We start from the raw sequence: 26,991 nt of genomic DNA, 5'->3' as shown, positions 1-26,991 counted from the left end.
AGAAATTCAACACTATATTAAAATTTTACTAGGAAAATCTAAAGAAAATTGCTTTATGTTCATAAATCAATGTTAAAACAGGAAAATAAATCCACACCATATTTACATATAGCTCTTAAAGAAAGTAGTACTGTCTCGGCATGTTTATACTTTTCATTCACTTGCAAATCTAAGTGAAAGCAACTAGTAGTGAAACATTGTCAATGCAAAATACTTTTGATAAAGAAAACTAAAAATTATTTTCAATAAAGTAGACACTTTTGCAAAGCAGGAATTAGTAAACAAATAGCTTTAATGGATCTATCTAGCTATATATACAAAATACTTGGACTAGTATAAAAGAACAAAGTCTTCATAAGAAAGAACATTCATGCAATGAAAGGCTCTAATCCAGGGCTCATGAACAGATCACTATGTCGATGTGAAGATCATTAAAACAAAAATTAGCAGCACGTTTTTATATAAAAATCAATGTCCTAAGGTTTAATTCTGTGAATTACAAAACATTATGGCCTATTCCTGCTCTGGCTAACAAGAAACGACTTAGTACCATATTTCTGTCATAATTACATTTTTTATATAGTAAGTTTCCATTTGAAATATGTCCAATTTTGTGCTAATATTTATGTCATTTGTGTCACCATATATATTCTGAAAAAAAAAGGTAAATACCAACAATTACTACAATTACTGTGTTCTTATAAAGTAAAACAAAACAAATCTTCCTTGCTACATAGTTACCTTGGACACAGTCCATCAGCCTGACATTCTGTGAACCGACACATAGTTAATATGTTTACAAGAAACAACTATTACTTTAAAAGAAACACACCAAACATACCATTATATTATAAGACAATTTATCAGGCAAGGTGCTGAGTCTTTCTCGAAGGGCATTATAGTCATTATCTACCTTCTTCCTGTTGACAGAAAACACCAAATACACACATTATTAACGATTTTTCTTTTTTTTTTTTTTTTTTTTTTTTTTTTTTTTTTTTTTTTTTTTTTTTTTTTTTTTTTGAGACAGAGTGTCGCTCCGTCGCCCAGGCTAAAGTGCAGTGGCGTGATCTCGGCTCACTGCACCCTCCACCTCCCGGGTTCAAGCAATTCTCCTGCCTCAGCCTCCTGAGTAGCTGGGATTACAAGTGTGCGCCACCATGCAAGGCTAGTTTTTGTATTTTCAGTAGAGAGGAGGTTTCACCATGTTGGTCAGGCTGGTCTTGAACTCCTGACCTCATGATCCTCCCACTTCAGCCTCCTGAAGTGCTAGAGTTACAGGCGTGAGCCACTGCACCTGGCCTCACTCAAAAGCTTTATTAAATCTCTTCTTTCAGTCGTGTGTGGTGGCTCACGCCTGTAATCCCAGCAATTTGGGAGGCCCAGTAGGCCAGGTATCATAAAACAAGCTAATCAAAAACATAATTTTAGCAAATTCAAGATTAATGTGGTTTTATTTTTAGTTTTAAAATCCTGTTTTTATACAGTTTAGCAATGGCATTATTCTACCATACATTTATTGAAGAATTAAGACTCTTCAGGGACTCTGGCATTTAGAAGCAGAATACTCAAATTTTGAGAATTACTGTTTTTTAAGATACAAGACTATCTGGACCAAATAAAATGTGAAAATTAAGGGAGACAGTAAAAGAGGGCCTGATATTTGGAGAGAAGAAGGGACTCAAGATGAAAAAAGAAGAGATTTATTTATTTTAAGACAGAGTCTCTCTCTGTTGCCCAGGCTGGAGTGCAGTGGCACAATCTCAGCTCACTGCAACCTCCACCTCCTGGGTTCAAGTGATTCCCCTGCCTTAGCCTCCTGAGTAGCTGAGACTACAGACGCATGACACCACGCCCAGCTAATTTTTGTATCTTCCATAGAGATTAGGTTTCTTCGCCACGTTGGCCAGGCTGGTCTCGAACTCCTGGCTTCAAGCGATCCCCCCACCGCAGCCTCCCAAAGTGCTGGGATTACAGGCATGAGCCACCACACCCGGCCGAAAGAAGAGATTTAATAAAGCTTTTGAGTGAATAGATACTGGCTGTGAAGTTGAAATCATGAACATGAAATTTGATCAGATGCTTTAGTCCTCATCAGAAAACCTTAGGCTGAAAAATGCATCATCAGCTCTTCAATTATTCATAATAATGTGATTAAGGTAAGAGAGAATCAACTGGGGGTAGAAGAAATTAAGTAGAGATAATACAAAAGGCGTTTCAATTTGGCCTAGGAGTCTGTTTCTTGTTACATCAAACAGAGCTACCAAATAAGTAATTTCAAACAACCAAAAGGTATATGTAACTCTGTAGGGGCAGAGATGATCGTATTTCCATGCTATGGGCCTTACTCAGCTCTTAACACCTGCTGGAAATGAACAGCCCTTCTTTTTGAGTAATACCAGGCAGCAGCCTATGCCAAGATGCCCGTCAAACTTTCTCTGGAGACTGGGTTTCCAAAGGGTTCCCTGCTAAGATACAGGCTGCAAGCAAAACTACAGCACTGAATTTTTTTTAAGCAGAAGGATGTTGTCAGTTTTTAAAAATAACAGAAACAAAAATTCACCAACTCAGCAAGTAATTTAAAAGAACATGTAGACATTGTCAAATTGAAATCAGGATAAACTGCAATGTAGGTAACAACTCTCCAGATAATATAAATGACAAACATCACAGAATTGGTTTCAGCTTACTGCTTAGTTCCCTGAAGCAACAGTAGCATAATTAATAAAAAAAAATTAGCTCAGTCTTAAGATCTTAAGGAATTTCACATATATATTATTTTACATAACCTATAATAAATGTCACTTATCAGTATTTTTCTCTTACAGAAGACAAAGTAGAAGGAAGATGGAAAAACCACATAGCAAGAAGCCAGATCTCCTCTATCAAGATGAGGTAAGCAATGAGTTTAACCTAGCTAGGTCTTCTGACCTGCATTCCTTCATGAAAGCTTTCTCATTTTCTAGTGTGCAACTGCTTTATAACTTTCCCCAAAAAAAATCCTTTTCTATAAATAAATACGAAACATGTTTTATTCTTTTGTTTAAGGCAAAAATCCTCCTCCTGGAAAATTTTTATATGGATAAAATGGCAAAAAAACTTCATGCACAAGGCTATGTACCAGAAAGAACATGGCTTTGAAGTCAGACCAGAGAGTGAATCCCAAGCTCTACATGCAATTTACACAAATTCACCTTAGTCTTAGTAACTTCAATGGCAAAATTGGACTAATACTTATCTCACAGGTTCAACAGAATTAAATATAAAAGGTCTAACACACTGCCCAGCATGGAGCAACTACTATTTTGGTTCCAAAACTCAAAACTCATTTTTTTCATGAAGCATCAAAAAACATCAATTCCAAAACTTTCAAGAAAGACTATTACCTACAAGATTTCACTAACCAATTTGATACAAATAGTATAACTTGCTGAAAGACAGTACAGCTGAATGTAACCATTCAGGGGCTTTGGAAACAGGACTGGTGTGAGCAATCAATGGGAGAATGTCTCCATAGGACTGACTGGTACAGTGCCTAGACAGTCAACACTCACTATTAATAACATAACACTAACAGCTTATTTATGTTTCAGATAAGTAATTCTGCAAATGCTCAAGGACTAAATACACCAGCCTAGATATCTAAATATTTCTATGAATATTAAGAAGCTAGTATTAAAGTCACCATTCAATAAGTCTTATTTTGGTAACAATGCTTAGGAGAAAAAAAAACAACTTCCTCACAAAAAACATCTATTTTGTACATTAAAAGAACAGTACGTTCAAAAACAGGCAATACCAGAGATCAATGTCAATATTTCAAGTCAAATATAATCAGTTTTCAACTTATTAATAATTCTCTCTGGAATAAAAATGCGGACATACTGGAGAGCAGTTTAAGATTAGAGTTGCTATTTATAAATTTTGAATTATTTTCTAAAAATACAAAAGTAGAAGATCACTTAAAATGCAGCCCATGTAGAAATCCTTTATGAAGGGAGGCCAGGAGGAGTCAAGCAATGTCTCTGGAAGAAACTACAGCTTGAGGAACCCTCTCTCTCTAAAGGCTACATTCGTGGAAATGTTCAGGGCTTAGTCAAACAGTGATCTCCAAATAGTATCTCTATTATTTCAGGCTTAAATAATCCTGTTAAAGATCACAAAGCCTATGCAACAGAAAATGCAAAAGTTATGCTAAGAACTAATGCATTACTGAGGTTAAGTCTGGGGTCTTTATTTATAACAAAATTTGAACAGATTTTTTTTTCTATTTTAATAATTAGAAACGTAATTAATTTTTGGACACAGGAGTCATTACAGTAATCAAAAATGGTAATTGCTTAAAATAATTTTTCTTCAAATGGAAAACAAAACCCAGATAGAGTTAAGAAACACCTCTCCAGCCTACTTACTTAGAATAGCTAGACCTGCTTCTTTGGCTTCAACATAATGGATCCTTATAGATCAGGTTCCGCCTTCAACTCTTAATTTTAAATTTTTTTCCAATATCCTCATGCAACATTCCTTATACAAAACAAGAACTAAAAGCATAGGTATAAGGCATGTAAGAAACTTTAACCACTTCCTTCTGAATCTTGCTAATCATGTGCAATATGCCTTTTGAGAGTACCTTTTGTTTTAAGGAAATTAAAAAAAAAAAATAGGCAGCAGCGATGAAGACCATTAACACAACCACAAGTTAGCCCTTACCCTTAAAGGATTAAGATCAAGACAGAACCTATGGGAAACAGCTCATTTGCATAAAATTGTAGAAAGTAAGAGAGAAATCAAGTTAAATGAGGGATATGCTCAAGTATTTAGGGGTGAAATACACAGATGTCCACAACTTAATTTGAAATTCATCAGAAAAAAATGGATTAACGGATTAGGGTACAGACAGATAGGTGATCAAGATTCACTCTTCCATATGTTTGAAATTTGTCATAATAGAATATTTTTAAAGGGACGAGGAAATATGAAAGGGATCAACATTTTTAATCCTCTTAAAAGTGACTGACAAAAATAAAAATCTCTATTAAAAAAAAAAAGTCTACATCCTTTGAGGCCAGTGATAAAGACTCCAACCTTTAAATAATAAAAAAGGGAGATAAAATTTAAATCAGGTTGAAACAATAAGACTTTGCTAATTTTACTTTAAAGTAAGAAGTTAAAATAGACAGCAAATACTAACATTGAACTTTTTTTTTTTTTTTTTTTTTTGGAGATGGAGTCTCACTCTTTCACCCAGCCTGGAGTGCCGTGGCGTGATCTCGGCTCACTGCAACCTCCACCTCCCAGGTTCAAGCGATTCTCCTGCCTCAGCCTCCTGAGTAGCTGAGATTATAGGCACGCGCCACCGCACCCGGCTAATTTTTGTATTTTTAGTAGAGACGGGGTTTCACCATGTTGGTCAGGCTGGTCTCGAACCCTGACCTTGTGATCTACCCGCTTCGGCCTCCCAGAGTGCTGGGATTACAGGTGTGAGCCACCATGCCTGGCCCAGTTTTTTTTTTTTTTTTTTTTTTTTTTTAAGAAAAAAAATCTTCTATCACTCTCTTTTCCTCTACCTAACATCCTAAACAGACAAGCAGAAAATACTGTGAGATGCCTAACGGGGAAAGAGGAAAAAAATTTCTATATAAGTGTTAACATCTGAGTTAACCTGGGACAGAGTTAAATTTTTATTTTTTAATTTAAGAAACGATAAAAACGGAAGATTCTGGAATATATACAATATATAACCTTCTTTAGAAATAATTTTTAGTCCATCATACCCACCCTACAACTTCCCATTAAGCATCCAAAAAAGACTTGTTTCAATTGAATCCACCATTTACTGAGCAGCTCCTCTACAACAAGCCTATGGCATATGCTGCAGGGATCATCACTCACACATAGCATGCCTTTCTGATTGTTTGTTGATTGTTTTGCAATGCATCTTTGTCAAAGATCCACTAGCTTGAAGGATGCCTGGCTTTTCACCTCTAAAATCAAGAAAATAGAGGAATATTAAGTTTGGGCATGGATTCTATATAGATAAAGAGATGTCCTCCAGTTACTAAAGCAAGAAATAATGATTTTTTTCAAAGTATCCTTTTAAACAATCTAAACAAATTGATAAAAGTTACATTTTATTTAAAAATTCTTGAAAAAGGGATCTATACTGTTATGCTTTATGCAATTTGGTGGGAAAAGGAACACTCCTCATGGAAAATTTAAATGTACTTGAATTAAATCAATAGCATTACACTTTTTTTCTAAATGGTCATGGCAAAATATTCAGTAATTTCAATTGATATAAGTAACTGAAATGTACCACAAAATTCAGGCAGAATGGTGGTATATTCCTTTTTTATAACTCTATTATACCAAGGAATTTATGTCATCAGAAGATGCTGATGAAATAATCTATGTTCTTTATATTTTATGAGTCCATCAGAAAACTTTACTATTAGACATAGATACCAAGATTAACCCGCATATAAAAACATAATTTTTCAAGTCAATGAAACAAAATTATCTAAAGAGAGATGCAGCTAACATTCTACTAGATTTCTTCAATTTAACTTTTCAACAATGAGAAAACAGTGCAATGGATATATATATATAGTAAGCCTGGACAGAAAAATCTGTTCTACTGTTCTCTCTACAACAACCATACACATGTGTTTGAAGACTTGTCAGTTATCACAGGTGCCTGTTTCTTCACTCATTACTAATCTTTTGCTCTAAGAAAATGAGATGTGAATTCAAAGCAAAAAACCTTTAAAATTATGTAAAAACACATTCATCTACGTTTGAAAGAAATATCCTAAAGTGCCTAGTTAATTTTTACTGATGAGTTTATATGTAATTTTTGTTCTTTTTATTTTCCAAATTTTCTATAACTAATATAAATTCCTATTACAAATCAAAGGAAAGGACCTTTTAGAAAAGGTGTGATGAGTTTATAGCTGACTTAAGCTTTGAAAGTTTGTGCAAATTTCTACTTAAATCTTACCGTAATTCATAGGTTTTGCTACTTTACACTTTCTATATTTTCTTTCTAAAGCATATTTTAGAAAAAAGTAATTTTGTGGGTTTTCTTAATTACAGTAGCAATTAAAAAACCCTTTTAGGTCACTGATCCCTATGAGAAACTAGAAAAACTCTAGGCTCTTCCCTGAGAAAAGAACTCATATTTTACATATAGTTTCAGCAGAGGCCCAATCATAGATACCTCCGGGTTAAAGTTTCTCAAGAGGTTTTACAACAGTGAAAAATGGCAATCCTGGTTTTGAACCTACCAAATATTTAAAAACCTCAAAATTATCAACTGACTTAAAAATAAAAGAAAAATGTGAAAACCCTCACCAATTTGATCATGAGTTCAATATGAATTAGTAAAAAGTAAATTATAGGCATGCCTCCATTTTTCACAGCCTACATTTCTCTCAGGTCTTACACTGATACCCACCCCAATCTGTCTTTGGTATAGTGGAATCTGGACTTATATTTCTCAAAATAAGAACAAGCACTCAGGATTATCACCAAGTGATGCACTTCTCAGACAAGCACTGTGGTTGTTGCAATATTCACATCTTCATCCTCAAACAGGACTCTGTGCTTAAGAGTTTTATTGGATGTTACTCTTCATAAAAAAAAATGGAAAATGAAAAAAAAGTACAAAGAAGTACAGTTTTCAAACCTAATACAGTTGAGACAAAGATAAAAAATCATGAGGTGTGCCCAAAGCAGTAAGCCCTAAGCCCTTTGCCTCAGTCAGATACTGGACTTGAGCTGGTCATGGGAAACTGAACCAAACCATATTGACACTGGAAACACGTCGTCATCAAGGACTATTCTAGGTGATGAAATGTGATTAGGGATTTTTTTTAATAATAGTTTAAAACTCTTCAGGGGAAAAAAACTCTCCTATAACATGTAAGTTTTCCTTTCATTTTCAGAAGTGCGTTAAACTAGCTGGTTGCTTCCAAAAACATGATATAAAAGCTTGAGGACTCCTACAAGTAATAAATTCTAATTACAAGTTAAAAATCATTTAACTCTTTAAAAAGAGAAGGAAAAGAAAAATGCATTTACAGTTTGACCTTAGTCACATAAATACACATACAGAATTAAGAAGCTAGAGGGAATAAAAGGGAATGTTTTAAAAACAGGGAGAGAATTAGCTTCTCTTTACAATTATGAGTAAATTTATCTTTATTCCTTTCTTATTTCAACTTTTCCATAACTAAGCATGCATTCATTTTATATTCAGAATAAACATTTAAAAACCTAACTCAGATTTAAAAAAAATTCTTTAAACATTCAACTTGAATCTTTTTTTTTGCCTCTTAATTTGCTTTGAAACATTACACACGAGTTCCAAACTCACTTAATCACTAGCGCATGTACTAACTCACACCATTTTTTAAAACTGTGCAGAAACTTAATGACAAGATTTGACATATATGATTCTTCCCCCTTATCCCTAAGACTTTCATAAACAACTACAGAAACTCCAACAACAAAAACATGCAAAATTTCCAGAAAGTTTGGCAGTTGCTCTCTGCTCAAGAGGAGGGAAAAAAAAAAAAAAAAAGAAAAAATAACATAAAGAAAAAGCCCAAACAGAAGGCCCTCTACAAAACAGTGACTGAAAACTTTGTAGTCAGTAAAATACAGACTCTGAAAAACACAGTTTACAAATCTACCTAACACTGTAGAAAAAAGTCATTGGCTTTTACAAGTTTTAAAGGTATGCAGATCAATATTTCACATATTATACATAATAAAATAAATTTTATATAGCATGTGAAGGCAACTCAAGAAAACAGTTTCAGGTATTCATATGAAATATACTGTAAACCATGGCATTGTTACAATGATATAGTTCAGTGCTTCTGTGCACAAGGAATGCCTCAAAAACATGAGACATATAGACAGATATACAATGTGTGCATAAAGCAGGTATCTCCATCCCGACTGATAGGAAAGAGTAGCTCCAACAGGAAAAAAAAAAAAGAGAGAGAGAAAATCAAATCTTCACCTGAGATTTTTAGCTATACAGGTATGCTTTCTTGGTTATTTCCTACTATATACTTTAACTATAAATTCTAATGGAAGCTAGTTACTCTTTTCCTCTGAACAATTATTTTTGTCCAGTTTCCTTTGAAAAATAAAAAAATGTTGAGTATTTGCTTTAGACTCTCTCAAAACTCACATGCCAAAGTGTTTTAGAACTTTTATGTCTAAATTTAAAGTATTCTTTCCAAAATTAAACACCTGAACAAAGTATCTTCTTCTATATTTAAGTCTGTTTCATGTAATTTCAAAGATACCTTTACCAAAAATCCTTTTAAAATAAAGGAAGCAAGGCAATAAATTTTTTACAACTCACATGCATACGATTTACGATTGTAAGTAATGCCTAACATAAAGATGAACTGCCAGGCATCACATGTACTATTTCATTTCATTCTCACCAGTCAACATAAAGGACGGAGACTTCCTTTTTGTGTGTGTAGGACCTATTCAATAAAGTCATTGCAGTGCATTAAAAATGACCATTAATTCTTTTTCACGCCTCCTCTCAACAGGTGGGTGTTATCTTCCCACCTTGTGAATCTGCGCTGGCCCTTCCTTTGACCAACATAACGTGGCCTTGCAGCTTCCATTCTTGCTGCTGAGATGCCCATAGAAAGTAAGCTGGACAAAAGAGCACATGGAGGCAGAGGCTCAACCAACAGCACTAACCACCAGACTTGAGGGTGAGGTCATTCTGGACAACAAAGCTGACCCAGCCACCAACTGGCTGCAACCAAAGCAGTGAGCCCACACAAGACTAGCAGAAGAACCACACAGGTGAGCCCAGCTTAATATGCACACCCACTGAATCATGTGCAAGTAAATGGTGGTTGTTTCAAGCCACTAAGTTTTGCAGTAATTTTACTAAGGAGCAGTAAAATAACAGATATATCATCTTAGCAAGGATATATTTTGAGTTCAGAGCTATACTCTCAGTCATGTAGCAATTATTTATTTAAAAAAAAATAGTTCCAGGTCTCATTTAGTAATCCTAAAAGTTAAATGTCTGACATACAGCAAAATGTATGGAATGAGGTAAAGAGGAACTGTTAGTTAATGATACAGGGTAGGTATAGTATTAAATGAACAGGTACAATCTGATTTCATTTTTGTCCAAAAGGATGGGAGCCGTATATAAACATGTAGATGAATACACACACACAACACACACACATACATACACAAACACTTACATTATGCAAACCATTTCTGAAAAGATTTATGAGAAATTGGTAAAAAACTGCTGTTTCCAGAAAACAGAACTGAGGGGCCGGGTGCGGTGGCTCACACCTGTAATCCTAGCACTTTAGGAGGCGGAGGAGGGTGCATTGCCTGAGCTCAGGAGTTCGAGACCAGCCTGGGCAACACGGTGAAACCCCGTCTTTACTAAAATACTAAAAAAATTAGCTGGGCATGGCGGCACGCGCCTGTAATCTCAGCTACTTCGGAGGCTGAGTCAGGAGAATAGCTTGAACCCGCGAGGCAGAAGTTGCAGTGAGCCGAAACCATGCCATTGCACTCTAGCCTGGATGACAGAGTGAGACTCCATCTCAAAAAAAAAAAAAAAAAAAAAGTAAACAGAACTGAGAATTAGGGGACAAAGTTAGGAGGAACCTATACATCATTTACATCCTTTCATACCTCCTAAATTTTGAAACATGTAAATGTATTGTCTCATTAAATATTTTTTATTTAAATCTTAAAAAGTTAATATATAGTCTTTCTTGTCTCTTAAAGATATATACTGAAATATTTCCAGATGGAATGATACGGCTTAGATTCATTTCAAAACTGGAGATGGGATAGGCAAAATAGTTTTTATTAAAAAGTCAAAAAAGAACAGATGTTGGCAGGACTGCAAAGAAAAGGAATGCTTTTACACTGTTAGTGGGAATGTCCAGCCACTGTGGACAGCAGTTTGGAGATTTCTGAAAGAACTAAACTGAACAACCATTCAACCCAGCAATCCATTACTGAATACAGACCACCCAAAAAAAAAAAGCATTCTGCCAAAAAGATACATGCACCTGTATGTTCACTACCACAATGATCACAATAGCAAAGCCATGGAATCAATCCAAGTGCCCATCAACAGTGAACTGGATAACAAAAATGTGATACATATATACTATGGACTACTACACACCCATAAAAAAGAAGAAATATTTGCAGTAACATGGATGCAGCAGGAGGCCACTATCCTAAGCGAACTAATGCAGAAACAGAAAACCAAATACTGTATATTCTCACTTATAAGTGGGAGCTAACCACTGGGGACACATGGACATAAAGATGGGAACAAATAAACACTGGGGAATACAAGAGCGGTGAGAAAGGGCAGGGGCAAGGGCTGAATAACTGCCTACTGGGTACTATGCTATCTGGGTGATGGGTTCAATTGTACCTCAAATCTCAGCATCATGCAATGCACCTTTGCAACAAACCTCTACATGTACCTCCCAAATCTAAAATAAAAGTTAAAAAAAAATTGGAGGTAGGAGTAGATGGCAAGATAAGATGTTGAAATGAACAGTTTAGAGAAAATCATGAGTTGATGATTATCAAAGCCGACTGATGAGTACATGAGGATTCACTATACTACTCTATCACCTTTCATTTGAAATTCTTCATACCAAAAAGTGATTTAAAAATATTAATGTAAAGCTGTAACAGTAATTCACAGAAACCCAACTCTCTCTCCATCATGACAAAAAAACAGAATGAACACTAAATATTCACGAATATTTACAAAGCACTGGCTTTTTTTTTTATTTGTCTGACAATTAAAATTTTCAAAAGAGGTATATGGGTTCCTATTAATACTTATTGAGTGCCGGGCAGGGTGTTCTACAGACATGATCTCATTTGATCTTCACTACAACCCTGTGAGTTAAGTAGTATCATCATCACTTTACAAGAAAAAACTGAGACTCTGAGCATAATTGTTCAAGGTCAAAACGCTAGTAAATGACAGGATTCAAATATAGGTCTGTGACTCCAAATGCCATGCTCTTTAAGGAAGAATTAAAAAGAAAATTACAAATAATCCACAAACAAAATAATCAGCCACTAGTGGACCAAACAGTGGGAAGTATCCTCATACTTTAAGGAGGTAACAGTGTGTGGATTTCATAATACCTTATTTCCTGAGTTAGTTAAAAAGGATTATAAAGAAAAAAAGTTTGATTCAAAAACATTTTTTAAATCCTCACTAAACTGAAAACCATTATTATTAGCTCTAAAATAATGTACAAATTCTCATCCAATAGGCTTGAATCTTTCCTTTTTATCTGTTATTAACTAAACAAATATTATAAATTTCTTCGTTCACCAAAGTTCTAGGATTTAAATTAATTTTCTCAAAGATTTTTTTGGGTAGATCCTGTGGTCCCAGACCATTTTCACTCCTATTTTTCTATAAATATTTTTACTCCCTGTCCTACATTTTTTTTTAAACAAAAACCAATTTAGATTATTTCTGAGCCTAGAATACATATACTTGTTCCTTAAAGAATCCCTTAAAAATTATACAAACAAGCATAAACATCACCAGCATAAGAATGCATTTTTCAAACCATATATTTTGTTCTTCTTTACTATACTGGTGCGTACTCATAAAGAATAGGGGCTTAACAGAAATTATATTTTAGACTAGGCTAATACCAAGGGTTAAGTAGGAATTAAAGCAACATGCTTTTAAAAGTAGTGTGTGAGACACCCTAAGAACGGCTCCAGCCTCTGAACTCCTGTAGTTGCTTCATATCTCCGCAAATAGCACAAAATTATCGTGATTTCCCTGTTATATGTCTGGCTATGAATTCTTCTATGGCAGGGTCTTTCAATTCCAAACAGCAGCACAATACTGGCATATGGTAGAAACTCAACTATTGTTTGAGGAATTAAGAGAATGCAAAAATATCACAAGAATTCCACGACTCTCCCAAACAGCAATTTCCTTGCTTTCAGGGAAATGGTGACACTTTGGTTTCAATTTTTTGATATAATGAATTGATTAATTTACTGGCCATTCAGATTTGAGCAATATACCATGTATAGATCTTCATTAAAAGCAAAGAGAAAAGTCTGTTTCCTGAACCAAACCAGAAATGATTCAGAGGAAAATGCAAATTTTAACTGGAAAAAAATAATTTTTTAAATGTATAAAGTACTATATTACTTCAAGATATGTGTAGGCAAATATGCTAAGCTTCTACAGTTTAGAGGGTTTTACAAAACTGAAAAGTGAAATTGAGGGTCACATGAACCTGCCATGAAGTAAATGTCACATTTCTGTCACTGCTCACTAGACTTGTGCACTACTAGAGTATTTGTAAACTAAAATGTTATATAGAAAATAACCACATATTTGGTCATTTACTCAAACATTTATCAAGTGCCTATTTTGTGCCAAACATAGCAGTAGGGGCTGTGAATAAAAGGATGAAAACGTGCCCTTATCCTTAAAGAACTCTAATAAGAATCTTATAAAACAAACCAGAAGCAAGTTACCATTCACCCATTTATGTAAACTAGCATCTATTTCCAGTGAATACCTTTCTAATTTCCTGAACTTCTTACCAAAACCAATAGACAGAAGTCCACGTTAATAAACTTCCTCTGGAAATTATTTGTAAAATGGGCCACTCTGACTAAATGTGCAGGGGAAAAAATTCTTTGGCCAACGACTTGTATTTCAAGTTTTAACCTGAACTGAATGTATAATGAAAGGCGAATGGTCCATTATGGAAATGCTAACACACTTACACCACCAGTGGAAGCAACTACAACGATGCATTTATTGAAAATTAATGAAGTCCTGAATTTTTACTTATAAAGTGGATATTATTAGTTTTAGATTATTTTCTGCAAGCCAATAGTCAAAATTTAATAAGATGATGTGTACAGATTGCACCAATTTTCACTCTTATCCACTGCCTGCAGCCTATGTGCATTTAAACCAAAAAACATTTGATATACACTAACTATAAATTATTTCCTTGGAGATCTCTCAGGCATGAAGAAAAAGCCTCTTAAAATAAATTTAAAATATTATATGCTTGATGGTGTATAACCGAAGGTTTAATCTCACCACTAAAGGGGCAGTTACCATGATTTTTGCAATAACCCTGCAGACAATAATCAAGACAGCTCCTGTTGTTCTCTCAGTAAAACCTTCGTAAGCACAGCATGGATATATTGTAATTTGATATCTGTAAGATCAACAGCTATACTTCATGACAACTCATAATATAAGATTTTATTCACCATTAAATCGAGCATTTTCCTCAGAAGCCAAAGGAAAGTGTGTTATTTACCAAACATGGTCCTATTAACTATAGATTAGCACATTAAAATAGATATGCTCTCTCTTAAAAAAAAAAAAAGTACAGTCAATAAAACAAGCTCTGAAAAGTAGAAAATTAGATTTTTTTTTCAAACTTTGGGAAAACATTTCTGTGCCCTATTTCCATCATTATTTTAAAGTAACTGATTCCCATTATTTTTCTACTAAAATGTAAGAAATATCCCCAAAATAGAGCTAAGTCACATTCAAAAATGTCTCAGTCTCCAATTCATAATGATATTAATATTATTCTTAGAAAAGAAAAGGCACTTAGAATAAATACAAGTGGTAACACAACGTCAGGAAATCAGAAATGTGTAATTCAGAAAAGGGTCAAAGACAATATAAATTAGTATTAAAGGCATTCAAAATGGAGACTACTAGAAGAATTCAATTACTAGTCATACATACACACACACGCAAACAGTAAACACATTATTTGAACACAAGTAGGTTACCCCATCAGTATTTCAGAAGTGTAATAAAACCATCTTTCACTCACCAATGCTGGATTCTCTCTTGGCAGTTAGTGACCACCTGTCATGAAAACAGATAACTACTCATGAAAAAACAGAGCTATGCACAGAGCTACAAAAATCAGTGTATCTGAAAACTAGAACATTGGCTTTACAGATTTAATAGCATCTCAGTATACATTTTTATTTGTCAAATGCACAGAGATGTGAACGTTAGTTTTTAAGCAGCACACTTTATCATAACCCTCTAATGCAGGCTGATAACTGCAGAACAAATTACAGCTTTCTGATTCATACTTTGGTACAAAACCCGCTTCATAACTATTAGGTGACATATGATATAAGATAACTAGTATTTTGTACAATCTACAGACCTGTTTTCAATATTACATATTTTGTAGAATACATAAATGTTATAAATAACAAGAAACCAATGTAACATCCACGTTTCGTCAGTTAAAAAAAATGACTGTAGTGACAATATTTTATTTTGTCAGTATATCTCCAAACATTTTCACCTGTAATTTTTATTCTGACGCATTAAAAAATGAATTCAGTGATATTTTTCTACTACATTTTCAAGAAGAAATACTTGGGATAAGGAGATGCTCTGAACAGCTCATTTGTTCCCCAGTGAATTATGATCAAGACTGTAAGCACTTCACAGCCAGTTTAAACTATGTTTATAATACTAAAACAATGAATTTAAGTACAAAAGTTATTTGTTTTCCTTGGAGATATGTCAGTAGATTCTCAAAATGCTCAGAAAATAAGAAGACTAGACAATAAAGAAAAATGCAATTTAAAAAAATAACACTATTTTTGAATGACAATTTAAGAATTAACACTGTTTTCAAGGATTGCTAATTATCTACTTTTAAATTACCTATTAATAAAAATTTTAAACAGCAGTCTAGAATACCATATACCATTTTAGAGACAGAGAAACTAGGGGATGAAAGCCAAAATGCTTAAGACTAGGCCATGAGAAAAAGAGAGCAGCATTATCTGGTTTGCAAAACGCTGCTCTAGTTCACTGCTCTAAATACCAATATTGTCTCTTGTATATGCTCAATGTTTCACCATCCCGTCCCAGCAAAAAAAAAAAAAAAAAAAAAAAAAAAATACACACGATTTTTTTTAGACCTGTCACTAAATTCCTCTATTGTAACATTTAATTCCTGAAATAAATGTCCTCTTTTGGGACATTTTAAATACTAAGACAGAAATTCTGTACCAAAATACATGCTATAATCAGAAACCCAACCATACTACACATTAACTCAGCATAAAAAGTCCATTTTAGAATGAAGATCTCTCAGTAAGTATCAATCACATAGCAACACTTAATAACAGTGGCAATATATAATAGAGTACTGACTTTACATCTGGAAGAGCCAAGCTAAAACTACATCAATCCATTTCACTGTTTCTGATTTGGCAGTAATTACAAAATAGACAAATAGAATTAAATGTAAATTGAAAAAGGAAAAAAATGCTCATGAAATCCTTTTCATAAAGTTCCTATTTAACAACCCCATTAAAAGATGAGACCCAAGAACAGTCAGGATGTTTTCCAATCCCAATGCATGTGTTTCCAAGCATGAAGAGAGCCAAAAGCACAGAAAGCAAAGCCCTGCAAACCATAAGAGCAGAATGTTCATTAACCTCTACATGATAATCCTTTCGTAGCTGCATATTAACTAGTTACACATTCATAATCATTTACATTATTTAAAGGACCTTCGAGGAAATCTTCTAAGCTATATCCATTAGTGACGGTGTTAAAGGTTATAGAAGATAGTCTACCTAATGTTTCCAGGAAGCCTTTTTAATTAGTAAATATGCAAATTTGGCACATATGCTTTTTATGTTTAAGAAACAAGTCACTGGTAGAATGGCATGTGTTCTTGCCATCACTCCCCATAGTCTACCCTCCACTTCGTTCCGGCCATTCTTGCCCTGTTCCTTTTACTTCCCTTAAACAGTCTCCCTAGGAAGATAGACGAACAACAAAATCCATTTCACAATGTACAAGAGAAATTTTCACTACCAAAATGCTGCCTTACATTTTAAAGTCTTTATTAGTTACATATAGTGTGTAGAATATCAGAGACTTCAAATAAGCACTATCCAAATGTAAACTAAAGAAGTGACATTTGGGAAATCAGAAATAAGGGGAAAGATGAAAGAGGTAGATATAAAAATATATAGACTAGCCTTCTGATGGCATGTCTAGGTTATCTTTGTTTATATGATTTATGGTCCACCTACTTGCAGAAAAGATTTAAGCCCAAGCAGTTCTATTATATTTAGAGGGTTTTTTTTTTAGTTGTCTTCTATTTCACAGCAAGTTATTCAAAAGAAAAAATTAGTAAATTTTGGTCAGACGCGGTGGCTCACGCCTGTAATCCCAGCACTTTGGGAGGCTGAGGTGGGTGGATCACGAGGTCAGGAGATCGAGACCATCCTGGCTAACACAGTGAAACCCCATCTCTACTAAAAATACAAAAAAATGGCCGGGCATGGTGGCAGGTGCCTGTAGTCCTGGCTACTCGGGAGGCTGAGGTAGGAGAATGGCATGAACCTGGGAGGCAGAGCTTGCAGTGAGCCGAGATCGCGCCACTGCACTCCAGCCTGGACAACAGAAGGAGACTCCATCTCAAAAAAAAAAAAAAAAAAAAAAAAGAAAAAATTAGTAAATTTCTACAACTTAGAAATTTTAGAAGGTGTTATAAAAACAAATATTTTTCCCTTAAGTTAAATTATTCTAAATAATCTTATTTCTCCTGAAAGGGGACTCAGATTAATTACTTTAAGTATTAAATTTTAAAAGTAACCATAAGGCAGCGAGCCTTGTTCTACAAGCAACACTTGAAAAACACAGCAAAAGAAACAAAAACATTTCATTACTTTGTTGTCCTCCACAAAAGTAAGACCACAATGGAAGAACAAAACTAGTTTTTGTTTATTTTTTAAACCTGCCAAAACATGCAAATAGTGCCCCTAAAGAAAAAAAACTTATTGTATTATTTTCATTTTTCTTAAAAATAGTTACTAGGCTTCAACTTTAAAATACCTGAACTAGTAAATTCTTTAACATAATGACCTCGTTTACACTCAAGAATTTATAATAAAGTATGTACCTACATAGAAGTACAGCAGTAAGTCCACAGTAAAGAAAAAGAACTATGAGCTGATTTACCACTATTTAGGAGTCTTTACCAACAACCCAGTGGCTACAAAGTCATATGGTATCCATTCTTTGCAACACAAAACTGTCTTTAACCTATGAGCAATAACAACAGGAGTATATGCCAACACTGCATGTGACAAAACGAACTGCAAAGAGTTCAATGGAGGCGGTTTAAATCTTTATTTGGAGAGGAAACCTGTATTCAGAGATGAAGTAACTTACTTAATATTACACAACTGTCCAGGAACTGGTAAGAGATGAGACCAGTTTTAAAACCAAGTCTTTCTATCAGGGATTCTATCTAATCCTAAAGTGCACAGTCCCTATACTGGCCTGCTTCCAACCATCATGCGGCTTACTGGATAACAGCAGAAAAACACTGGTTACAGCTGCAGTCTTAAAACACTGACTGCTATTGCTGTTTCTCCTCCACTAGTTAGTTCCTCAGTCCCACACTCACAAATAAGACCTTGCCAATCATGTCAGTAAAAGCAAATTCTGTAAGCTTAAGTTCACCAATTCACTAACATTATAATCCTTATTTCTTCCAATGCCTCCTACAGCTCCTGACCCTTTCAGATGAAACAAGTATAAACACATTTCCCAAGCATCATTTACTAGTATATCTGTGTATGTTTAGGTGAAGGTAGAAGGGTAATGTGCTAGCCCTACAATTACTATCACACCTCATCATATTTTTAAGACACTTATAAATTAATAGGGTTAGACACCTAGAAGGACAATGATGGACAGCCCATCCAAAAATATTTTTCTGTTCATTAGTGTCCACCTAACATACACATACATTTTGTTACCAAGGGTTAAAATAACATTTGGTAACTTTTAAGCTCCACACATTATATGGAAGACAGGAATAATAATTTCTTAGCTGTTGTTCCTCAGAAGCTGCTTTTTAAAAATTATTTTATAAAGGAGAGCAGTAACATGCAGTAAGATCTCCAGTACTTAAAATTTTCATTTGTGCTATTTATATTGGTGACAGACCACAAGAGGGCATAAACCTATGAGTTTCTAAGGCAAGTTAAATACAATGCCACACTAAAACTAGACTGGAACAGAAAGCCTAAAAGGTCAAGAGTACTTCTTCATCTTTGATACTTTTCTCAAAAATGCTTCACTTCTAAAACTTGTCTCACCATACTGCAATTTTAAATTCTTCCTGTATGGGTTAATGCATAATATAACAGTTTGGGAACTGTGCTAATCAGAGCTGTCTAAATTTATATAGTTTGCTTCTCCTGCTAGACTGTGGCTTCAAGACAGATCTTACTATTTTGGTTTTAAAGCTGCTGAGTCAAAAAGAAAATAGTATCAGTGGGAGCTGAAGCCAATGGATACTGGACATACATGTTATGTGACAGTTACTTAAAAGCTGAAAATAATTTCTTAAAAGATAGATTTGTCAAGTAGATGTATAAATATCATTACCAAAGTATACAAATAGTGTACTTTCAACAAAATTTACAAAAATTACAAATCTTTTAAGTAAACCCCTTTGCAAATAAGGGAGGAATTGACTACAGGTTCCTAACAGAAAAAAATGCAATAAGCACTGGGATAAACTGTAATAAACTGAGTGTTGCTGTATAAAAACCACCATAGCCTGAGCAGAGTGGCTCACGCCTGTAATCTTAGCACTTTGAGGCCCAGGCCAGTAGATCACATGATGCCAGGAGTTCAGACCAGCCTAGCCAACATGGTGAAACCCCGTCTCTACCAAAAATACAAAAATTAGCCAGGTGTGGTGGTGCATGCCTGTAATTCCAGCTACTCAGGTAGCTTGAATTGCTTGAACCAAGGAGGTGGAGGTTGCAGTGAGCCGAGATCACACCACTGCACTCCAGCCTGGGAGACAGACAGAGACCCTGTCCCCAAAAATAAATAAATAAATAAATAAATCAACCACCATAAAAGTAAAGAAAACCATTTCAATTTTAAACAAATTATGTTCCAAATATGCTGCAAAGCAAAACTGCTAATGAAAGCTAAGTCCAATTATATGGAGCCACTTCTGAAAACACTTACATGTTCTTATTTAAAATGTTAGCTAAGATGGAATCAAAAGTCTCCTTAATCTTTACCTTTATGTTTTAGCCAGATTCCTCCTACACAGGCTTCTAAGCATTTTTTCCTGTATGCCAATCTAGTCTCGTTTTACACAAATATCGGACTATGTCTAACGTGCTCTGGCACTATACATCTCCCTCCCTTGTTGGCTTTACCTACAAACTGGGCTCTTTTTTTCTTTCAGTAATCATTACTCACTATCTTAAGTATTCTATTACAGTTTTCTCCTATTGGAAATATTTTAAGAGTGGTGACACATACATTCAGTAATACTTCTAAGAATGAAGACGTTTACATGTTTGGAGGGTTTTGGGGGTGACTTGAACTAGAGATCCAGGAACTCTAACTGTTCTGGCTGAAAGCTCCATGAGGTAGGGCCATGTAGTAAACATAACATTTGCAATGAAACATATGAATATTCAAAATGTAATAAATGCCTCACCCATATAAGTTCCAGTTTTGTCAACAATGAATATGCCATAAACTTAAGAATAACTGTGTTTTCAGTGCTTTTCAGGCTTCCGAACTGCAGATAAGAAATTGTGACCTACATTTCTGAATCTGAAATACTGCCTGAATTCCACCTTGCATGCCCACTGTTTTATCAGAGATTATCAATCATTTCTTCTCCATTCACATGCCTTCCTCGTAGAAACCCTGCCCTTCTCCCATAAAGAATGGGTAAAGAATCCCATTTCTCCGTCTGTAGCCACAATAAAGGGAGAGGATAGATACCTGCTGCTAACTGGACCAACCTCATTTACTTTGGACATCAGAGCCTGAGGTGATTACAGATTCTGGTCCTAAAAGAAAGACCACTATAGGATCTGCACAAGCTAACCAACCATCTAAAGCAGCTGGTACAGGAAACAACATAAATGTACAAGAAAACAAAACACAGAGACCCAAAAAACTCCTACCCTTGACTCCCTCCTGACTTCTTACAGTAAATTATTTCATAATTTCCTAAGCATCTGTATGATTTGCAACTAAGAAAACTTTAGAGTAGCAAACTTGCCACACAGGTTAGGAGGAGAATGTGCCTGTGAAAGGCTCAAAGGAAACAAACAGTCCACTGAAGAGTAAATACAAGTAGAAGAAAAAAAAAAAAAAACAGGAAAATATACTCCCAGGTAACAAAAAAGTCAAATTAAAGCAATCTTATTTAGCATTAATTAAAGAAGTACATTTTTATTTTAAACACCACTGGCCGGGTGTGGTGGCTCACACCTGTAATCCCAGCACTTTGGGAGGCCGAGACAGGTGGATCACCTAAGATCAGGAGTTTGAGATCAGCCTGGCCAAGATGGTGAAGCCCTATCTCTACGAAAAATACAAAAAATTGGCCAGGCGTTGTGGCAGGCGCCTGTAATCCCAGCTACTCAGGAGGCTGAGGCAGGAAAATCAAACCCGGAAAGCAGAGGTTGCAGTGAGCCAAGGTCACGCCATTGCACTCCAGCCTGGGCAACGAGAGCAAAACTCCGTCTCAAAAAAAAAAAAAAAAACAAAACAAAAAACAAAAACAAAAGAAACCACCACTGTCAGTGAGACTGTAGTAAAAATCTCAAATCACACTAAATCACTGCAAGTAGCTATGTAAATTCAAAACTCAGTCTAGACTTGCGTAATACCTCCAAGTAGGACAAAAAAAGCTTGTAACTCTCAGAAAGTAGAAGAGACAGACAGATAAATACAAAAATTATCTCTTTAAAGGCACCCAAGAGCTGCCAAAGCAGTGAGGACAAGAGGGACCAAGGATTCAGAGAGGGGAGAACTGTGGAGAAGTGAGCTGATCATCTGAAGCCACTTTTTTCTCAGACAACAGGAGGCACAGGCAAGAGGCTGAGAATTATGTTGGGCCCTGAGGAGACAGCCATGGCTAGCAGAAAGAAACAAGCAGAACTTGCGCAGTCTGACAAGGCTATATGGTAGTAAAATGAGAGCACAAGAGAGGTCTTAAGCATACAACTGCTTTCCCTCCCATGGTATCTGTCAAATTCTGAGCTGCGAAGGCCAAAAAGATAAACTAAAACTCTGAAAAGCAGAGCTCAGGATCAAACAAAAATTAGTTCAGAAGCCTCCAAGGAAATATGGTGTAGTGAGCAAAATCAAGCTTCCAGATGAAAGCCTGAAGAAACCAGAAGCAGCAGATGGCTTACTAAAACAACAACCTGGCCTTCACTCCACCCAGCACCTGCCCGGAGTAAGGTGACCAGCTCCCACTGCATCTGCTTCAGTAGAAGAAAGGACGCGCCTTTTCCAGAGGAAGTTATCACCTTCAGGAATATCTACAATCTTTAAAGACACAATCCCAGGATTTAGTCAAAAATAACTAGGATGCCAAGAAACAGGATCATATGACCAAAAGTCAAAAGAAAAAATATATAAAACAGAACCAAACACACATGCAATCTAGATACTGGTGTTAACAAACATAATGATTAATATGTTCAAGGAAATAGAGGAAAAGATAAAAGGAATATATTTTAAAAATAGCAATTTTCACTAGAGAACTGAAATCTACAGGAAGAAACCAATGAAAATTGTACAACTGAAGAACCAAAAATTAAAATAAATGGCATTAAAAGAAGATTAAACAGCAGAAATCAGGATTTTTGAACTTGACAGGTCAAAAGAAAACACCAAATTAAAGCCCAGAGATTCAAAAATAAAACATGGAAAATACAGAAAAGACCAATAAGAGACATGTGAAACACAGTGTAAGTGCAAGATCCAGAAAGGGAAGAGAGAATGCAGCAGAAGCAATATTGAAAAGATCTTGAATTCTGGATTTTCTAAAACTGATATCAAAGTATCAGCCGATAGACTGAAGAAACTCCAAGAATCCCAAGCAAGAGAAGCACAAAGAAAATTTCAAGGCACAACATAGTTAACAGTGATGAAAACCAAAGAAAAAGGGAAAACTTTATGTGCAGCTGGGGGTAGGCGGAGGAGGCACAGGGGAGATTCACAGCCTTCAAAGGAGTGACAAGACTTAGAGCTAGAGCTAACTTCAACATCAATGACAGAAAGTGAAAGATAACAGAGTATCTTGAAATGCTGGAAAAAATAACTGAAAATCTATAGTGACATACACAGCAAATAGATCCTCCAACATGAAGGAAAAAATAACATTTTCAACAGAAACAGAATTCTGCACCAGCAGACTTTCATTAAAAGAAATACGGTTTATTAAACTAGACATGTTGTTAATAAAATGTCTTATCAAAAAAATTATTAAACTAGATATTGTTATTAAATAAGTGTGATCGGTTAAAAAAAAGACAGCAACAACAACAAAAAGGACTCTTCAGAGTAATATAAATGCAGAAAGAATTGAAGAGTAAAGGTACAGGATAAAAAAAAAAAAAGATGGGTAAAGATAAATCAATATTGACCACACAGAACAATTAAATACAGTGTTGTGGTGTTTAAAATACGTAGAATTAAAATGCATGGGAGCAATCATGCAAGAGGTGGGCTGGATAAATGAATGAATGCTATGATCTCTAGAGACACCAGAGACTTACTTAGTGAAAAGGAATTGTAAAAAAAAAAAAAAAAAAAGATACTATAAATACATATTATATTTAGTACTAAACCATAAGTACAGTATAAAAGTAGTAAAAAATAATGTATCACAAACAAGTTAATAGGAGGAAATAACAATACAAAATGTTTGATCCAAAGGAAGGAAAAAAAAAAAGCAGAGAAAAAAGAACATAAAAGTACATCAATTAGAACTATAATGGGGAACCATTTGACACTCCAGTAATGAGGATGGTCCTTACAGAAAACAAAAACAGCCAATGCAAATGCCAAAAGTTGCCCAGTATGTGGACTGGAACCCTTGTGAATTTGTCCGGGAATGTAAAATGGTACAGTCACCGGAGAAAGCAGTGTGGCAGTTCCTTAAAAATTAAACACAGAATTACCATATGATCCAGAAATTCCACCTCTGAGCATACCCAGAAGAATCGAAAGCAGCCGGGCGCAGTGGCACACGCCTGTAATCCCAGCACTTTGGGAGGCCGAGGTGGGTGGATCACCCGAGGTCAGGAGTTCGAGACCAGCCTGACCAACATGGTGAAACCCCAACTCTACTAAACACAAAAAATTAGCCAGGGGTGGTGGTGCATGCCTGTAATCTCAGCTACTTGGGAGGCTGAGGCAGGAGAATCACTTGAACCCAGGAGATAGAGGTTGCAGTGAGCCGAGATTGTGCCATTGCACTCCAGCCTGGGCAACAAGAGTGAAACTCCATCTCAAAACAAACAACAAAAAAAAAAAAAAACAAAAAAAAAAGAATCAAAAGCAGATACTTAAACCAAACACCCATGTTCACAGCAGCATTACTCAAAATCACCATAAGGTAGAGGCAACCCAAGTATCCATGGATGCTAAAATAAACAAAAACGTATAATACACTGCATAATACATTCTATAATACAATGGAATATTATTCAGCCTTAAAAAGGAAGAAATTCTGATATGTGCCACAACGTGGACGAACCTTGAGACATTATGGTAAGTGAAATAACCCAATCACAAAAGGACAAATACTCTATGATTCCACTTAAAGGTACTTAGAGTAATCAAATTCATAGAGACAAAAAGTATAATAGAATGCTGGCAGCCAGATCAGGAAGGGGAAGAATAGAGAGTTATTGTTTAATGAACAGAGTTTCAGTTTTGCAAGATTTAAAAAAAAAAAAAAAAAAAGGCCTGGAGATGGATGGTAATTACGGTTGATCAACAACGTGAATATACCCAATGCCACTGAACTGTATACTTAAAAATGATTAAAATGGGCTGGTCATGGTAGCTCATGCCTATTTCCCAGCACTTTGAGAGGCCAAGGCAGGACGACCGCTTGAGGCCAGGAGTTCGAGACCACCCTGGGCAACATAGTGAGTCCCTGTCTATACAAAAAAAAAAATTTTTTTTTTTAATTAGCTAGGCCCAATGGCATGCACCTGTAGTCCCAGCTACTCAGGAGACTCAGGCAGGATCACTTGAGCTCAGGAGTTCAAGGTTGCAGTGAGCTATGACCATACCACTGCACTCCAGCCTGGGTGACAAAGCAAGACACAGTCTCTTAAAATAAAATTATTAAAATGGTAAATTTTGTTATATTTACTACAATTTTTTGAATAAAAAATAAATACAATGTACGTCTAATAGAAAGGTGATAAAATTAAATATATCAGGAATCCTACTACATATAATGGCTTAAAATACTCTAAATAAAAGGAAAAGATATCTAGACTGAATATTAAAACCACAACAATATGCTGTTTATAAGACACACTTCGAACCCAAAAGACTGAAGTTAAGAAGATTTTTTTTAAAGATAGACAAAACAAACAAATTTAGCTGGTGTGACCATACTAATACTAATATCCAACAAAGGAGACTTGAAGGCAAGTAGCATTACTAGAGATAAAAATATCTCAGAATGGTGAAAAGGTCAACTGACCAGGAAGTTTTTACAATTTTAAATTTGTATACAATGAATAACATAGCTGTAAAATATATAAAGCAAAGGTTAAAAAAAGAGAGAAAAATAAATCTATAATCCTAGTGACTATTTTAATACATATCTCAATAAATGATAGAATTAGCAGACAAAAAAATTAACAAGGACATAAAATACTGGAACAACATATTCAAGCAGCCTGAACTAACAGACACATACTGAACCCAAAAACTGCAGGATTAACATTTTTTTCCAAGTAAATTATGAAAAATTTACCAAGAAAAAGAAAACATTAGGTCAAAAGGCAAGACTTAAATTTCAATTATGCAGAATGTGTACTCTGACCACACTAGAGAAACAGAAAAATAAGTAGAAAATAATGTTTGAAAAGGAATGTATTTCCAATTTATGGGTCAATGAGCAAATCACAATAGAAATTAGAAACTATTTTTAAATGACTGATAAGGAAAATGACATACAAAATGTGTGCAGTACCTAAGGCAATGATTAAGAGAAAAATTTAAAGCTCAAAATGCATATCTTATAATAAGGAAAGGTTAATATTAGTAACCTCAACCATCATCTCTAAGGGCTAGAAAAATTACAGGCAAAGGAAAATCTTAAACAGGAAAAAAGAGAGAAGAAATCAGTAAAGTAGAAAGCAGACTTAGAAAAGAGGAAAAAAATCAAAGGCAAAAATATAAAATATAAAATTGATAAACCCTTAAGAAGAGAAATCAAGGGAGGAAAAAACCCACAAATTAAAAATTACAGTAATTAAAAAGAGGACATCACCACCAAATCTACTGATAATAAAAAGATAACAGGATATTATGATAACTCGGAGGGACAACAAGCTTGAAAACTTAGAAAGGACAATTCCTTGAAAATCACATTTTCTAAAATGATATAACTAGAAACAGAAAATCTGGATAGTCTTTGAACTTTCAAAGAAATTGAGGTCGTATCTTAAAATCTCCATACAAAATGTCCAAGAAAAATATTGGGCCCAGACGGCTTTGTTGATGAACTCTTCCAAACATTTAAGTTAGAAACAGTACGAGCCAGGCACAGTGGCTGACTAGCCTGTAGTCCATCATTTTGGGAAGCCAAGGCAGATGGATAGCTTGATCCCAGAAGTTCAAGACCAGCCTGGGCAACATAGTGAGACTCTGTCTCTACAAAAAATACAGAAAAATTAGCCAGGCATGGTGGCGCATTCCTATAGCCCCAGCTACTCGGGGAGACTGAGGCGAGAGGATCACCTGAGCCTGGGAGTTCCAGGATGCAATGAGCCAGGATTGGCCACTGCACTCCAGCCTGGATGAGAGCGAGATTC

The 26,991-nt window shown here is 35.1% G+C and overlaps 1 protein-coding gene across 8 annotated transcripts in view, besides 1 other annotated feature; it reads right to left on the bottom strand.

Moving 5' to 3' along the window:
* The window catches only part of URI1 (URI1 prefoldin like chaperone), a 92,956-nt gene that overhangs the window by 30,470 nt on the left and 35,495 nt on the right, over positions 1 to 26,991 (bottom strand). For 4 of the 8 annotated variants that reach the window (XM_005259362.3, NM_001252641.2, NM_003796.3 and 1 more), the window contains exons 2-3: positions 14,916 to 14,950; positions 842 to 920 (exon numbers count right to left, since the gene is read on the bottom strand). In XM_005259362.3, the coding sequence (XP_005259419.1) occupies positions 842 to 920; positions 14,916 to 14,950 (114 nt within the window). Of the gene's footprint in view, positions 1 to 841; positions 921 to 5,892; positions 5,985 to 14,915; positions 14,951 to 26,991 lie in introns of all 8 variants that reach the window. The other 4 variants (NR_045557.1, XM_011527435.3, XM_047439596.1 and 1 more) reach the window with 2 other exon arrangements.
* Positions 19,095 to 19,364: an enhancer, noted in NCBI's record as "active region_14424". NCBI's record gives its function as "activates an Ori minimal core promoter by ATAC-STARR-seq in GM12878 lymphoblastoid cells {active_cell/tissue: GM12878}" and the evidence as "EXISTENCE:reporter gene assay evidence [ECO:0000049][PMID:35858748]".

Source organism: Homo sapiens, chromosome 19 (genome assembly GCF_000001405.40).
Source record: "Homo sapiens chromosome 19, GRCh38.p14 Primary Assembly".
Classification (NCBI taxonomy): Eukaryota; Metazoa; Chordata; class Mammalia; order Primates; family Hominidae; genus Homo; species Homo sapiens.
This window is presented reverse-complemented; position numbering and strand designations above follow the sequence as displayed.